The sequence below is a fragment of the Homo sapiens genome (assembly GCF_000001405.40).
Source record: "Homo sapiens chromosome 15 unlocalized genomic scaffold, GRCh38.p14 Primary Assembly HSCHR15_RANDOM_CTG1".
Taxonomy (NCBI): Eukaryota; Metazoa; Chordata; class Mammalia; order Primates; family Hominidae; genus Homo; species Homo sapiens.
In genome coordinates this window covers 211,135-226,407 of record NT_187382.1, presented here as the reverse complement: position 1 = coordinate 226,407, position 15,273 = coordinate 211,135, and the positions used below count along the sequence as shown (strand labels likewise).

Sequence of the window (15,273 nt, the reverse complement as noted above, 5' to 3'; positions counted from 1 at the left end):
TTCTTAATTCTTTATCTTTTTATAGTTTTAGCTAAAACTTCTATATCTAATTCTAAATTTATATATTTCAGCTAAAAATAAATGGTATTTAGGTTTTAAAGCCATTCTAATAAAGCAGCTATATTTAGCCACCTTCACCAGTTTCCCCTTATTGAAGGGTTAAGGTTGTTCTTCATGCAATAAACACTGTAACATAAAGAAAGCTTCCTGAACTGTGTGTAGTGTAACTGAAGGTGGGACTATATTGTTACACCTCACCGCTTACAAATACTTTATTCTCTAAGATCTAATTTTTACTAACTTCCTATTAGAGATTACAGAAAGCTATTTTGAGATTATAAGCAGTGATAAGAATGCATTTAAAATGTGGACTTCATGAAGCACTGCGTTGAACAGGATGAAGTGAAATAATCCCGATTCCAGAGTTAATCTGGAGTCAGCCATGTGAATTTAGGACAGGAAATATTAATTTATTGAGGCATTGTGCAAAAAATAGTTACGTGATATTCTGCATGTAAATCTGGGTCCCCCACACCAATATCCTTTGAAAGGAAGGTTTATCCTCGGAATCACAAAACATTGAGTGGAATGCTACAGTTTTGTAATCACTGCTACTTTAAACAGCAGTTAGCCACACTAAGCAAGAATAGCTGTAGAGATTAAAATGTTACATTAAGTGTTCTTTAAAAATGAATATATATGGTATATATAAAAATGTAAATTCCAAAATAATATAATTTTCATCTATAACATGATTTAAAGCAGGGGACACTGGGAAGGGATGGGGGCTGAACCCATTTTATGGCACTCTTCCCAGTCTAAGGTACCTTTTACTTTATCTTAATGTAGAATGTTTTATAAAGAGAAAATCAATCCACTTTAAATATTGGGTTCACATTACTTTTCAGGCTGGACAACCATTTCTTGAATTCTTAAATTATTTTTATTTGACAGAATTATACATTGAGGTAGACATAGGGGTTTGCTGTTCTGCTGAGATCCTTTTTTCTTTTAGGTGCCCAAGAATTCCCATCCCTCCATGGTTCAAATAATAGGTAGGTTGTTATAAAGGAAGCTGGCAACAGGCAATAACATTACTTGTAAGTAAGTTTTTTTTTCCTCAATAGGAATCTAAGATTTTGTTTTTTTATAGCAAGCATTTTTTTCTTCAATTCAGTTGTAACTGGTACACAACAAAACATAAATATGTACTATCAGGTATAGGATGTTTTGGGGGTGTGTTGTTGAAAATTTAGTTTCACCTTATAATGTTGACCACACTTTCATGTCTGTTAATCTTAATAAATTATGATCATCTTTGTGTGAAAATTTGGTCTGTTTTCATGACTCCTCAAACTTGCAGTATAGGTGATGATACAGTGAAGATCTGTTTTCAGGTTTCTTCTACCCATCTCATCCATGAGGTTTTTCTTTCCTCTGAGATACCTAAATTGTACTTTAATATGATACAAGACTAGAATTGAGAGGAAACTTTATTTTCTCATGTTTTGGGAGAAGAAAAAATAGAAATGTGTCATTCATGAGGACTGATTGACTCAGAGTTGTTGTGCAAATTTTGACCTTTGAACTCTTTGTTCCCATGCCCCTATTTTAATTCAAACCTTATACTCAAGTCTCAACTTGTTTTTAGGGGGTTAGCCAATGTTTCCCTCAGAACAGTATCAGTGCAGCAGGAAGTGCCATGTTCCTCAGATTTATGAATCCTGACATTGTCTCACTGTATGAAGCAGGGATTTTAGATAAAAAGCCACCACCTAGAATCGGAAGGGGCTTGAAGTTAATGTCAAAGGTGAATTATTTTGATAATCTAGCTATCTTAAATTCCCCTTCCAACTAAATTTTCAGCTTTTCTTACAGTACTTCCTCTTACATTTATATTGGAAATACCCTACGGTTTTCAGTTATGTGTTTTTATTTTGTTTATATTACAAAGGAATTCATTAGTTAGGTACCTGATGGACCTTATTTTCATGAGAATACGTTTTATTATAGCAGATGTCTTGTGTCATGAGGATCATTTTTTGCGTAATCATTCTAGACATTCTGAAACAGACTACAGTGAAGGCTGTAGGATTTTTTATTTTAAGACATTAAACATTTTTAATATGTATTTGTACATGTAAATATAATTATAATTAGGAAGAATAGAAACACTACCTAAAATATAGAATGAGAAATGATTGATTTTAACTACTAGCAGAAATTATATCAAGAAAATTCATATTTTTAAAGAATATATTAATGTATAAACTTCATACAATAAATAATCTGATTATTTATAACCCTGTTTTATTGTGTAAATACTTCAGAGTATTGCCAATCATGTTCTCTTCACAAAAGAAGAGCATATGCGGCCTTTCAATGATTTTGTGAAAAGCAGCTTTGATGCAGCTTGAAGGTAAGCTACTTGCCACTTATTCACTTGCTCTGTTTGAATCAAATATTTTCAGTTTCACATAAATCCATGTACCTGTTTTACATGAAGTTCCGTGTAGGTTTTTTTCTCTTCCTGCTCTAGGTCAAGACATAGCTTGCCTTATTTTATTTTACTATAAAAGACAGTCTTGAAATAAATTAATATTTTTTATAATTTGGTAGTGATTTTCATATTTGAAAACCAAGAGGCATTTTGGACATGTCTAGTTAAATAAAGGATTTGAGGATGGTACAATATGGGGATAAGGAAGAAATAGGATTCCTTTTATTTAAAACTAAAACCAAATTGGTATTGATAATGCATAAGAATGTTTAATAAGGTTTTTATTAGTATCAGAATATTTGTGATACTTAAATTTGGAAGTGTATCTAAACTAAAATGTTATTCTTTAAACCAAGTAATGCAAACACGTAAGATTTTGTTCATGAGTAACTGAACTTTATGATTTTAGAAAACTTTTCTGCTGGATTTCCATAACCAGTTATTTCACTTTATTTCTCTGAGTTATTGGTTTATCTGTAAAGTGGGGATAAACTCTTTGCCTGAGTTGTTTTTAGAGAGAAAAAATGAGATAATTCATAAGAAAGTGCTTTGTAAATTTATGTCTGGAATTCTGCTTTTCATGCAGTGTGAATCTAATTGATCCTTATCATCTAAGCTAGCCTTGTACAACTCTCTCTTCCAGTTTATCATCATTGTAATTGTTACTGACTTTTATTCTTTTAGGAAAATTGGAGTTTAAAAGGTATATTGCTGAATGACAAGCCATGTTGGAAAGAGAGTGAATGTCAGCACAGGATTCATATTCTGGCAGACTGAGGGCCCAAAGAAAGTTAAAAGGAACAAAGTTTTAATACTGGCTTTGACCTAACAGGCTATATATCTTTGGGGAGGTCTTTTGTCTGGACCTTCATTTCCTTATCTGTAAAATACCAGCCTCTTTCCAAAGTTTCATCCATCTCAATTTTGCTGTTCTTTAACTACAGAAGCTGAAGCCAGGTATCAGAAATGGAAAGCCAACTTTCTCCTTGTCCTTTTTACTTTGTCTAATGACAAATCACATTGTGGGAACAAGCCCTCCATATTTGTAATTGTCATCTCAGTTGCTTCACAAAGTTACTTCGTATAAATTTAATTCAAACATAAGTATGGTGTGTCTCTGGTGTTGAAAATTCTAGTGACTTTGCATTTTCTAATGTTTTTTCTTGATATGGCATCTGATTGTCCTACAAGTGATGCAGTAAATCATAGCCTCTCCTTCAGCAGTGACGGCAATGTGCTCGCTTTACATCATCTACTCCGGAACAATCAGGAGAAAATTGGCCAGTGTCTTTCTAGCAACAGGTAAGATTTCCCAGTCATGAGGATAGTGAACATTCTCCATTTTAATTTAGATCAATAAAATTATTGGTCATGAATAGTGCTTTTTAAAAACTTTGCATCTTCTTGGACTAAGAATTATGGTTTAGAAAGAGAAAGTCTTTTTTTTTTTTTTTTCAAAAAAATACAAACAAAAGGTTAAGTCATGTTAAATAATCAACAAACCTATGTAGGTTCCAGTGGTGGTTATTATTATTATTTTCTCAAGTTAAGAAATCACAGATTAGCTCTTTGGGTTTGTATGGCTTGCAAACTGTCATAGACCCAAAGAAGTTCAAATTAGTGTTGGCATTTGAATCTGAAGAACAGCTAATTCATAGGAATTCAGTAATTAAAATATTGTCAGTGTTTCAATTCTATGATAAACTCATTTGTGATACTCTAAGTATATGCAAATAAAGCTTTATATAGAAAATACTGGCCTGGCACTGTGGCTGATGCCTGTAATCTCAGCACTTTGGGTGGCCGAGGTGGGTGGATCACCTGAGGTCAGGAGTTCGAGATCAGCCTAGCCAACATGGTGAAACCCCATCTCTACTAAAAATTCAAAAATTAGCTGTGCATGGTGTCAGGCGCCTGTAATCCTGGCTACTTGGGAGGCTGAGGCAGGATAATTACTTGAACCTGGGAGGCGGAGGTTGCAGTGAGCCGAGGTTGTGCCATTGCACTCCAGCCTGGGCCATAAGAGCAAAACTCCATCTCAGGGGAAAAAAAAAAAAAAAGAAAAAATACTTAAAAATTGAAATTATTAATTTGGGCATTGTTTCATTAGCTCTTATTAGTCTCTTGTGTTAACATAAATTACTTGCTGTTCCATCTAGTTATATAAACTTGTAAAGGGACAAAATTCCTAAGTATGAGGAGTTCCTTACAAAGGAAAAATGAGTCCAAATTATTTTTAAATGCCAATAAAAGTGGTTAGCACATTCACAGGAAAAGTAGTGGACTATGAAGCTAAGGGTAAGCAATTGGGAGATGGGAGTTTAAACCACAGAGCATTTTAATCTTTTATGCATTATTAATGGATTGAAGTAGACATGGGCCTGAGGTCTTTTGGGTGCTGTTTACAAATCAACAGGGACCACCAGCTGACAGTTAAAGGAAAAGCAACAGTTACAAGTTAAAGAAATGTGTACTGCTAAATGTGAACTGCTACTTTTTTCTAAGTAGTTTGCTATATCTAGGGATCATAAAGCTGTTGGAAGATGACCTTTTGATAAATGGCAACACTTCTTGTATACCTCGGTCCTCCAGAGCACAAACCTGTGGCAGATACATACCGGTCCAGCCTTAACCTTACCAGTTAAAAGTTTGAGGAATTTATGATGAGGTAAAGTACAACCTTGAAATGTAGATTGCTTTCTTTTTGGTTGAGAAGCAGAGTTTACCACTAGGCCACTTGTTAGATATGATAGAAGACTATGAGGAAAGATGCATCTAATAATCACATTGCCATGTTTGGGGACCCAACTTTTCTCCTATTCTATATATTATTTATATATATATATATATATATATATATAAAGAATATGTTTTATATGTTGATTGCCATAATAGTAGTAACAAATCATATTTTATCATCTCGCTTTCATAAGTTTTCACATTTAATACCTACCAGGGAATGAAGAAAACATTATTTTCAGATGATAGTTAAGGAAAATGCAACTCAGTGTGAATAACTGGCTTGTGTGAGATCCCACACCTGATTCATAGGTCTTTTGGTTTTAAGTGCAGAACTTTTCTACTACACTATAACACTTTTCAGAACCCTCATAAAGATGAATGGCTTTAACTTCTTTTAGATTAAGGCTCAGAAAATATAGTCTACTTCAGTATTGCTATAAAATTTCTGTGGACATTTGTTTTGAATCCCATTTCATGGCATTTAGCTTGTGAACAAAAAGATCTTCATGGTTAGACACTGACTCTATGATGATACAGTGAGAGTAGTTTGCTGAATCTTTTAAAGTACATTTCACAGTACCTTATGCTTAGTAAGGTCTCCATAGTGTCTGTGAGTTGAATGTTGTGTTCACAGTATCTGCCAAAACAGAAAGAAAAAAACAAAATCTGATGATGAGAAGTTAAAGCTTTGTATATCATATGCCTTGAATTGTAAGTGCCTGTTGTTAGTTGTATTACATATAGGTCATGGTTTTGTACACATAACTCCAAACCATTGATACTGTTAAAAGAATATATGAATATATGAAAGAATGTATAAACATAAGAATGTATGGGTATATAATGTACTTTCCAAATTAATTTTTATTTTTAGCTTTGTTAGATTTTTCTTAGTGTAGCAAACGTTTATTCCTATGTAATTAAGGGCATATTTTCTGTACAGAATATTCATATTACCTAATTGAAAATTATATAATACAAAAATATAATACTATTTTTAGGCCAGGCATGGTGGGTCATACCTGTAATCCCAACATTTTGAGAGGCCAAGGTTGGAGAATCACTTGAGACCAGGAGTTCAAGACCAGCCTGGGCAACATGGTGAGACCTTGTCTTAAATAAATAAATAAATAGGTTGGGCACTGTGGCTCATGTCTGTAATCCCAGCATTTTGGGATGCCAAGGCAGGAGGATTGCTTGAGCCAGGAGTTTGAGACCAGCCTGGGCAACATAGCAAGACTCCATCTCTACAAATAATAAGATATTAACCAGGTGTGGTGGTGCGTACCTGTGGTCCCAGCTACCTGGGAGGCTGAGGTGGGAGGTTTGCTCAAGGCTGAAGTGAACTGTGAATGCACCACTGCATTCCAGCCTAGGCTACAGAATGAGACTTGTCTATAAATAAAGAAATAAGTAAAAATATAAATTAAAAGAAGTAAAAAAAATAAGTAAATAGAAATACATATAAAGATGAGTACATCAAAACAAACAATTTTTAAATTTAACATCACTGAGGGCATCCTGGCCATTTTTCTATTTTTCTAGGAAAATGTTTTTATTACTCCTTTTTTTCTAAGATCCTACCTTTCCTTACAAAGCAGTCTTTTGTGCTTTTGAAGATTATGTGTTCTAATATATATAGTATACTTAGCACAGTATCTGGTACTTGTAAAGTGTTTAATAAATGTTAGATCTTATTTTTGTTCTAAATTCCCACTGATGCTTTTGGAGACCCATTTTCTGTTTTAAAAAAATGAAGGTAGCTTTATAATAGCCTCAGTTTTTTTTTTTTTTTTTTGAGACAGAATCTCGCTCTGCTGCCCAGACTGGAGTGCAGTGGCATGATCTCGGCTCACTGCAAGCTCTGCCTCCTGGGTTCACGCCATTCTCCTGCCTCAGCCTCCCAAGTAGCTGGGACTACAGGCGCTCGCCAGCACGCCTGGCTAATTTTTTGTATTTTTTGTAGAGACAGGGTTTCACCGTTTTAGCCAGGATGGCCTCGATCTCCTGACCTCAGGTGATCCACCGGCCTCAGCCTCCCAAAGTGCTGGGATTACAGGCACGAGCCACCATGCCCAGCCAATATTCTGTTATTTAAAAAAAATTATTGAATTACTCAATATAGAAATCTAAAGAAAGTAAAAAAAAATTAAAAATTGTTTATCCTCCTGCTCAGAAATAATTCAGTTAACGTATGGTGTATAGTCTCCCAGTCATTTATCTATGCACATGTATATGTTTTTCTCCTATCAAATGATATCTAGGTTGTTTCCATTAATATTTTTAAAATGCTGACCTGGTACCAGCAGCATGATGGGCTGAGTTAATACAGTCTCCTTCCCAAATCACAATACTCATAGATACACTAAGTGTAAAAGAAAACATGTATACTTAAAAAAAATTAGGAAGAGTGCAGTAGCTTACGCCTATAATCCCAGCACTTTGGGAGGCTGAGGCAGGTGGATCACATGAGGTTTGGAGTTTGAGAGAAGCCTGGCCAACATGGCGAAACCCCATCTCTACTAAAAAAAAAATAAAAATAAAAATTAGCCAGGCATGTGACGGGTGCTTGTAATCCCAGCTACTTGGGAGGCTGAGGCAGGAGAATCATTTGAACCTGGGAGGCAGAGGTTGCAGTGAGCTGAGATCGTGCCACTGCACTCCAGCCTGGGCGACAAGAGCAAAACTCCATCTGTTAATTAATTAATTAATTAAGTTTATAGCTGAAGGTAGTTTCTAAGCAAATTACCTAGCATACAGTCATTACAGACAAAGAAATGGAAAATATGAAAGAGATTAAGAGATGCAGAAGATAGAATGAGAAGTTCCAAAATATGTCTAGTAGGTGTTCCCTAGAAATTGAGCTCAGTGAGAATGGGAAGAAGTAATATTTGAAAGGGTAAAGGATGAATGTTTTCTAGAGTTGATGAATGACATTAATCTTGAAGTTAAAGAAGCACACTGCGTCTTGAGCAGACTATATAAAAAGTAAACCAGGCTTTAATACATATGGGAACATAATATATGATAAAAGTGGTATTTGAAATCAAGATTAGGATGGACTTTCAATAAATGGTGTTGATAAAACTGAGTAATGATCTGAAAAAATATTTTCATACCATTTATGAGGATAGACTCCCATAAATCAGAAAGAAAAAAAAACATGGGCAAAGCAAGGCCTTTTTCATCCATTCAAAATCCATAAACTAGAAAGGAAAAGATTAATAAAATGAATTCGTTAAAAAATCATAAACTTCTGTCTGACACAAAGAAGTCATGAGTAAAAACAATCCTATGGTTAATATCCTCATCCAGTAGTTCTCTTAGAATAGTCCTAAAAGTGCTTTTGTGGTTCAAAGAGTAATATCTTGAGATTTTTTGTGCATGTTGTCAAATTACCCTTTAGAATGCCTGTTGCTTTTAAAATAATTTTTCATTTTAGCATTTTATTGTTTATCCAATTATGGACTGTTTTACATACTCAGTAGACAACACAAAGCCTCACAGTTACCCTGTTCTTTTTCTTTTAGGCATCAGGTATGTGAAAAAGAAGAGATCAAGGCTTTGAAAACATTAAGTATTTTTTACCAAGCTGGGAATTCCAAAGCTGGGAAGCCAATTTTTTATGTTGCAAGGAGGTACGAAATACTATGTTTTGGTGTCTCTTAACAGAATTTTTTAAATGATAGTAAATATAGAGAGATGGCAAGTTTGGTTTTTCCCGTTTGACTTAACAGGAATTGAAGACAAGTTTACCTGGGAGCATATAGTGGGGTAAATAGCCTGCCTTTCCTAAAATGATGGTCAATATCTAATAACTGCTTTTCAGACTACCCATTTCATATTGGTTTCCCTGTCCTACATCATTTTTTTAAGACTGCCTAAAATGGATTAATTACCAAGAGTTAAAAAACCACAAAGAATCTTTTGTTTTCAAGTATATTCTGATTAAGTACTACTCAACAACATGATAACCGGGAACTTTTTTCAATTTTATTTTATTTTATGATTTTATTTTTGAGATGAAGTCTCGCTCTTGTCCCCCAGCCTGGAGTGCAATGGCACGATCTTGGCTCACTGCAACCTCCACCTCCCGGGTTCCAGCAATTCTCCTGCCTCAGCCTCCTGAGCCCTCCCCTGCCAAATCCTTCCCAGCTTCTGGTAATCATCAGTTTATTCTCTGTCTTCATAAGATCCACTTTTTCAGCTCTCACATATGACTAAGAACATGTAATATTTTTCTTTCTGTGCCTGGATTATTTCACTTAACACAATGATCCCCAGTTATGCCTTGTAGCTGCAAATGACAGGATCCCATTCTTTTTTATGGCTGAATAGTATTCCATTGTGTATACATACCACATTTCTTTATGCATTCATCTGTTATGGGCACTTAGGTTGACTCCATATATTGGCTGTTGTGAATAGGGCTGAGATAAACATGGGAGTGCAGATATCTTTTTGATATATTGTTTTTTGTTTCTTTTGGATGTATACCCATCAGTGGGATTGTGGGCATATAGTAACTCTAGTTTTAGTTTTCTGAGGATCCTCCATGCTGATCCCCATCATGGCTCCTTTATGGAGAGTGTGTGAGGGTTCTCCTTTCTCAGTATGTTCACTGGCCTGCTGCCTTAGACATTAAATCAGGTGCTACTGCGGTATTCCGAGTTGTAATTAGTTTTTTATTTTGACATCTATAAATCTTCAGGCAGCCAGACAGCTTGATAAATTTAAGCCAAATACAGTTTTTCTAGGAGTGGTGAATTAATGGGAGAAGTGGCCAGATCATCCTTGTGTGTAGGTGTGAGCATGTCTGAGTGTGGCGAGGGAAGGTGGTTGGGTAGAGAGTGCTGTGAGGGAGTGAGGTGGGAATCCCCCTAGCTAGGATTGAGTCATTTTTTTCTTCTTCCATGCAAAATGCATATTCCCCATTGTGGATTTCTGAGTGTGTGAGTGATGAAGAAATAGGGCATGTGCCTTGACCCAGTTGCAGCTATTGCCTCCATGTGCCTGAGGTGCCTTCCTCATACTCTAGCATGTTACTGGGCAGACAGTCAGTATTAGCACATGCTGCTGGTCCTTGTGAGCACAGCACGAAGACGAGAAATGGCTGGCAGAAGTTTGGCTTGAGGACCAATAGATGTAATAAATGTAATACAGTTAGTTTTAGAACATAATTCCATAATTTGATTCGGGTCAAATAAATCATTTTAACCAAAATTTCTATTGTGGAAGAAAATCTTTCAAGAATTATGAAATTTGTGTCTCAGAATTGGCTCATTTAAGAAAAATAATACTGTTCAAATGTGCGAAGGCTGTCAAAGGGTTTGTTGTATAGCTTTGCATTGGCTGAGTTTTCAATGTTTAGACATTTGAGTATAAGAAAACTGCTACACTAAAAGTAATAGACATAAAAATAAAAAATAAACAGCTGTGTAATGTTATCAGGCTAGCTAGATGTTATGCATCTGTGATTCTGAGGCTTCTTTGCAGCATTTGGTTCATGGAGGTTCTGGTAAGACCAGCTTGTGAGCGTTGATGTTTCAGAGCAGGTTATTTTCTATGGTGTGAAAGATGCAGTCATTGCCAAGAGTCACAAAAAGTGAGGCTGGGAAGAGGATACACTGAATAAAGTTTTAAGGAAGTTTAAGAAAGCACACACCACATTGCCATTTGCTTTCTTAAAGTTTCAAGGAAAATTTCTAAAAAATACGTTCGTATGGTTTGTAAGGTTCACATGAGATAAGGAAGTAAATAGAGCACTTAGCATAGGAATTGGAAAAAAAATACTTATACTTTCAGACATAGAAGACATACAGTTAACAGATTTCAGAGTCAAGCACTGGTTAGATAAAGTCAAATGCTCTCTTTAGATGTGTACTGCAAGGCATTAGCCAGGTGCAGTGGCTCATGCCTGTAATCTCAGCACTTTGGGAGTCCAAGGTGGGTGGGTCACCTGAGGTCAGGAGTTTGAGACCAGCCTGGCAAACATGGTGAAACCCCGTCTGGACTAAAAATACAGAAAATTAGCTGGGCGTGGTGGCACACACCTGTACTCCCAGCTACTTGAAAGGTTGAGGCAGGAGAATTGCTTGAACCCAGGAAACGGGGATTGAAGTGAGCTGAGATCACGCCAGTGGACTCCAGCCTGGGTGACAGAGAAAGACGCCGTCTCAAAAAAAAAAAAAAAAAGAAAAAGAAAGACAATATTGGTGTTTTAGATTATAAGAATACAATTTTGATCATAATCATTTACTGTTCTTTGTCACGAAGAACTACTGATCTGTCTTTGTAAACCTGCAAACCTGATCATTGAGAAGTCTGCATCACTATTGATGACAACTTATGGTTCTTCATTAAGTGACCCAGTTCATTTGCTGGAAGATTGGCTGCCTGTTAGCGCAGAAAAAGATCCTTTTTCTAGTGAATATCATTGCAAAGTGAAACAGGAAGAGTGGAAAGGTACAGTCTGTAGGCTAGCATGCGATGCACCATGAAACTCATCATGAAAAGGACATGTGTGTCATTAATCATGGCCACATTGATCACGGCCCCACTCTCTAGGGAAGAAGCCAGTTTTTTCCCTTCCCTGAGAGATACCATAACTGAGCCGCCATCAGTATCTTCAGCCTTCCCTTGGAGGAGGATGAACTCGACCTCGATGGTAAGTGATTGATGGTTGACTTAAGGGAATTTGGCTGGCCAGGAATTTGGCTGGCCAGAGAGATGTCCTTCCTCCCTCACTGCTTCCTCATGGAAATGTTAATGAAGATTAAACAAATTAATATATGAAAGTAATACCTGGAACTTAGTAAATCTCAGTGAATTTTAGTCACTATTACTGCTCCTGTGGACCTCAAGTATCAAGCAATGTGACTACGATCAGTAGTGAACTAGCCTTTCTGTAGGCATATTCCTTTGTTTCTCTTGGCTAAATACCTGGTAGTAGAATGCCTAGTGCATATGGTAAGTGCATGCTCAACTTTTTAATACACTGCCAAGTTGTTTCCCAAAGCAGTTGAACCATTTTCCATTTTCAGCAGTAGTGTATGAGAGTTTCAGTGGCTCTATATCTTGACCAGCTTTGGTATGGTCCATCTTTAATTTTAGCCATTCTGATACATATGCAGTGCTATATCATTATATATATCCTTTTTTGAGACTGAGTCTTGCTCTGTCGCCCAGGCTGGAGTGCTGTGGCGCGATCTTCGTTCACTGCAAGCTCCACCTCCCAGGTTCAAGCGATTCTCCTGCCTCAGCCTCCCAAGTAGCTGGGAGTACAGGCACCTGCCACCATGCTCAGATAATTTTTTGTATTTTTAGTAGACACAGGGTTTCACCATGTTGGCCAGGCTGGTCTCGAACTCCTGAGCTCAGGTGATCCACCCGCCTTGGCCTCCCAAAGTGCTGGGATTATAGGCGTGAGCCACGGCACCCAATCTAGAGCATCTTTTCTTGTGCTTGCTTCTGTCTGTATGTCTTCTTTGGTGAAGCATCTGTTTAAACCATTGCCTATTTTTTATTAGGGTGATTTATCGTCTTACTATTGAACAGTAAGAGCTCTTGTATATTTTGGTTACAGATCTTTTGTTGGATGTATGTTTTGCAAGTGTTTTCTTCCAGGTGAGCACTGCCACTTCATTTCATTAACAATGATGTTGAAATAGGAAAATGTGTATTTTGGGGGAGTCAACTACTCTTCTCAAATCTGCCTGAATAGATTTATCCTTTAGGCCTCTTTTGTGGCAAGACAAATTCATAGCTGAGAAATTTATATGGGAGGAACAAAAAAGTAACTGTACCACTATCTAATATTGAGTACCAGTATTAGTGCAATTATTTAATAATGTAACTTCTTGTTAGTATAACATTAGTGAAAAATAATTATGAAATCTTTAGTATGTTTATCTTCTTCCATAAAATAAATTCATGGCCAGTGGGGTGTCTCACGCCTGTGGTCCCAGCACTTTCGGAGGCTGAGGTGGACAGATCACGAGGTCAGGAGTTCGAGACCAGCCTGGCCAACGTGGTGAAACCCCATCTCTACTAAAAATACAAAAGTTATCTGGGCTTGGTGGTGGGTGCCTGTAATCCCAGCTGCTCGGGAGGCTGAGGCAGAAGAATCGCTTGAGCTTGGGAGGCGGAGGTTGCAGTGAGCTGAGATCACGCCACTGCACTCCATCTTGGGCAACAGAGCAAGACTCTGTCTCAAAAAAATACATTAATTAATTTAAAAAATAAATTCATCAAATAACGACAATCACGAGAGTGACTACAAAAGATGGGCGTGTCCTCAGAGTCTGGCCTCAGTGAGTTTGGAGTGGTGCATACCAGGAGCAGCAGAGGTTCCAGGGAAAATTGTAGACAGAGGAAACAAACCACCATGAAGGAGAGTCAGTGGCAATAATCATTACCAATGAAGAACTGTAGAGTCGTATTTCAAGAATGAAGGTGAGAGCCGGGTGTGGTGGCTCATGCCTGTAATCCTAGCACTTTGAGAGGCCAAGGCAGGCAGATCACCTGAGGTCAGGAGTTTGAGACCAGCCTGGCCAACATGGTGAAACCCTGTGTCTACTAAAAATACAAAAATTAGCCGGGCGTGGTGGCAGGTGCCTCTAATCCCAGCTACTTGAGAGGCAGAGGCAGGAGAATCACTTGAGCCTGGGAGGCAGAGGTTGCAGTGAGCCGAGGTCACGCCACTGCAGTCCAGCCTGGCGACAGAGTGAGACTCTGTCTCAAAAATAAATAAATAAATAAATAAAATTGAGGTAGTCATTTACAGAAAAATATAATCTTTAAGACTTAAGAGCATTTAAGACCAACAAAGTTTCAATAAAGAAATGTTAATAGAGAAGGTTAGCAAGAAAGGAAAAGATTAAGGAGTGCAGTTATGAATAGTTAGAATCTAGTAGCTAGTAAGCAGATGACACATCTGAAACTCTAATCACGTATTTGCAACAATAAGAAAGCTGTATGTAAAACAACTTCTGTTTGTGGTTGGTGGAATTAAAGGAAACAAGACAGAATAAGCGAACAACTGAAAATAAATACAAAAATGAGGTGATCAGAGTGAAGGCATTCTACAGTGTTTGCATTATTTTGTGGAGGGAGTTAAAATTAGCTTAATTTTAGCCTTTGTTAAATTGTAATGCAAAATGCAGTGTAAAATTTCAAGGAAAACAACTAAAAGAATAGTAAAGATTCCAAACCAATAGAGGTTTAATTTCCAAACCAATCAAAGGAAAAAAGATGGAATTGGTGGGTGAGGGTAGAAGGATTTAAATTATTCAAAAGAGACTGGGCAGAGTGGTTCACACCTGTATTCCCAGCAATTTGGGAGGCCAAGGCAGGTGGATCACCTGGGGTCAGGAGTTCAAGACCAGCCTGGCCAACATGGTGAAACTCCTTCTATTCTAAAAATACAAAGAAAAAAATTAGCTGGGCGTGGTGGCTTACACCTGTTGTCCCAGCTACTCAGGAGGCAGAGGCACGAGAATCACTTGAATCCGGGAGGCAGAGGTTGCAGTAAGCCGAAATCATGCCGCTGCACTCCAGCCTGGGGAACAGAGTGAGACTCAGTCTCAATAAATAAATAAATAAATTCAAAAGAAAAGCAGGAAGAGAGAGGGAAAAAAACTAGATAAAATGGACAAGTAGAACACATAAAATAAAGTGAAAGGATAAGGATATAGAAGATTCGAATAGATTATTTCCCACTTTGATTTTAATGGACATATATAGTGATTAGAGAATATTATGCAGCCATTTAAATTGCATATGTAATAGTTACCACTTTACTTGGCATAAAGCCAGTTTTAATAAATTTCAAAGAATTAGTAACAAAAATAATTGAGAAAAACTTCCAGAAACTGGAAAAGGATAATGTGCTTTTGTTATAAAAGTTCATGTTATGTTGAAATGGATAAATGGAAAACAACAAAAACAAAAAGCATACCCAGAAACATGAAGGTCACATTTTATATCACCAGAATGATATAAACTGATTTGCTTCAAAGGAATGAGAGAGA

The 15,273-nt window shown here is 36.8% G+C and overlaps 1 long non-coding RNA gene across 1 annotated transcript in view; it reads left to right on the top strand.

Moving 5' to 3' along the window:
- The first annotated feature begins 3,691 nt into the window (after positions 1 to 3,691).
- Positions 3,692 to 15,273, top strand: part of LOC105369218 (uncharacterized) — a 28,164-nt gene continuing 16,582 nt past the window's right edge. Inside the window, exons 1-3 of the long non-coding RNA XR_007068539.1 lie at positions 3,692 to 3,802; positions 5,023 to 5,168; positions 8,773 to 8,880. This is a non-coding gene — a long non-coding RNA (uncharacterized LOC105369218). The remainder of the gene's footprint in view (positions 3,803 to 5,022; positions 5,169 to 8,772; positions 8,881 to 15,273) is intronic.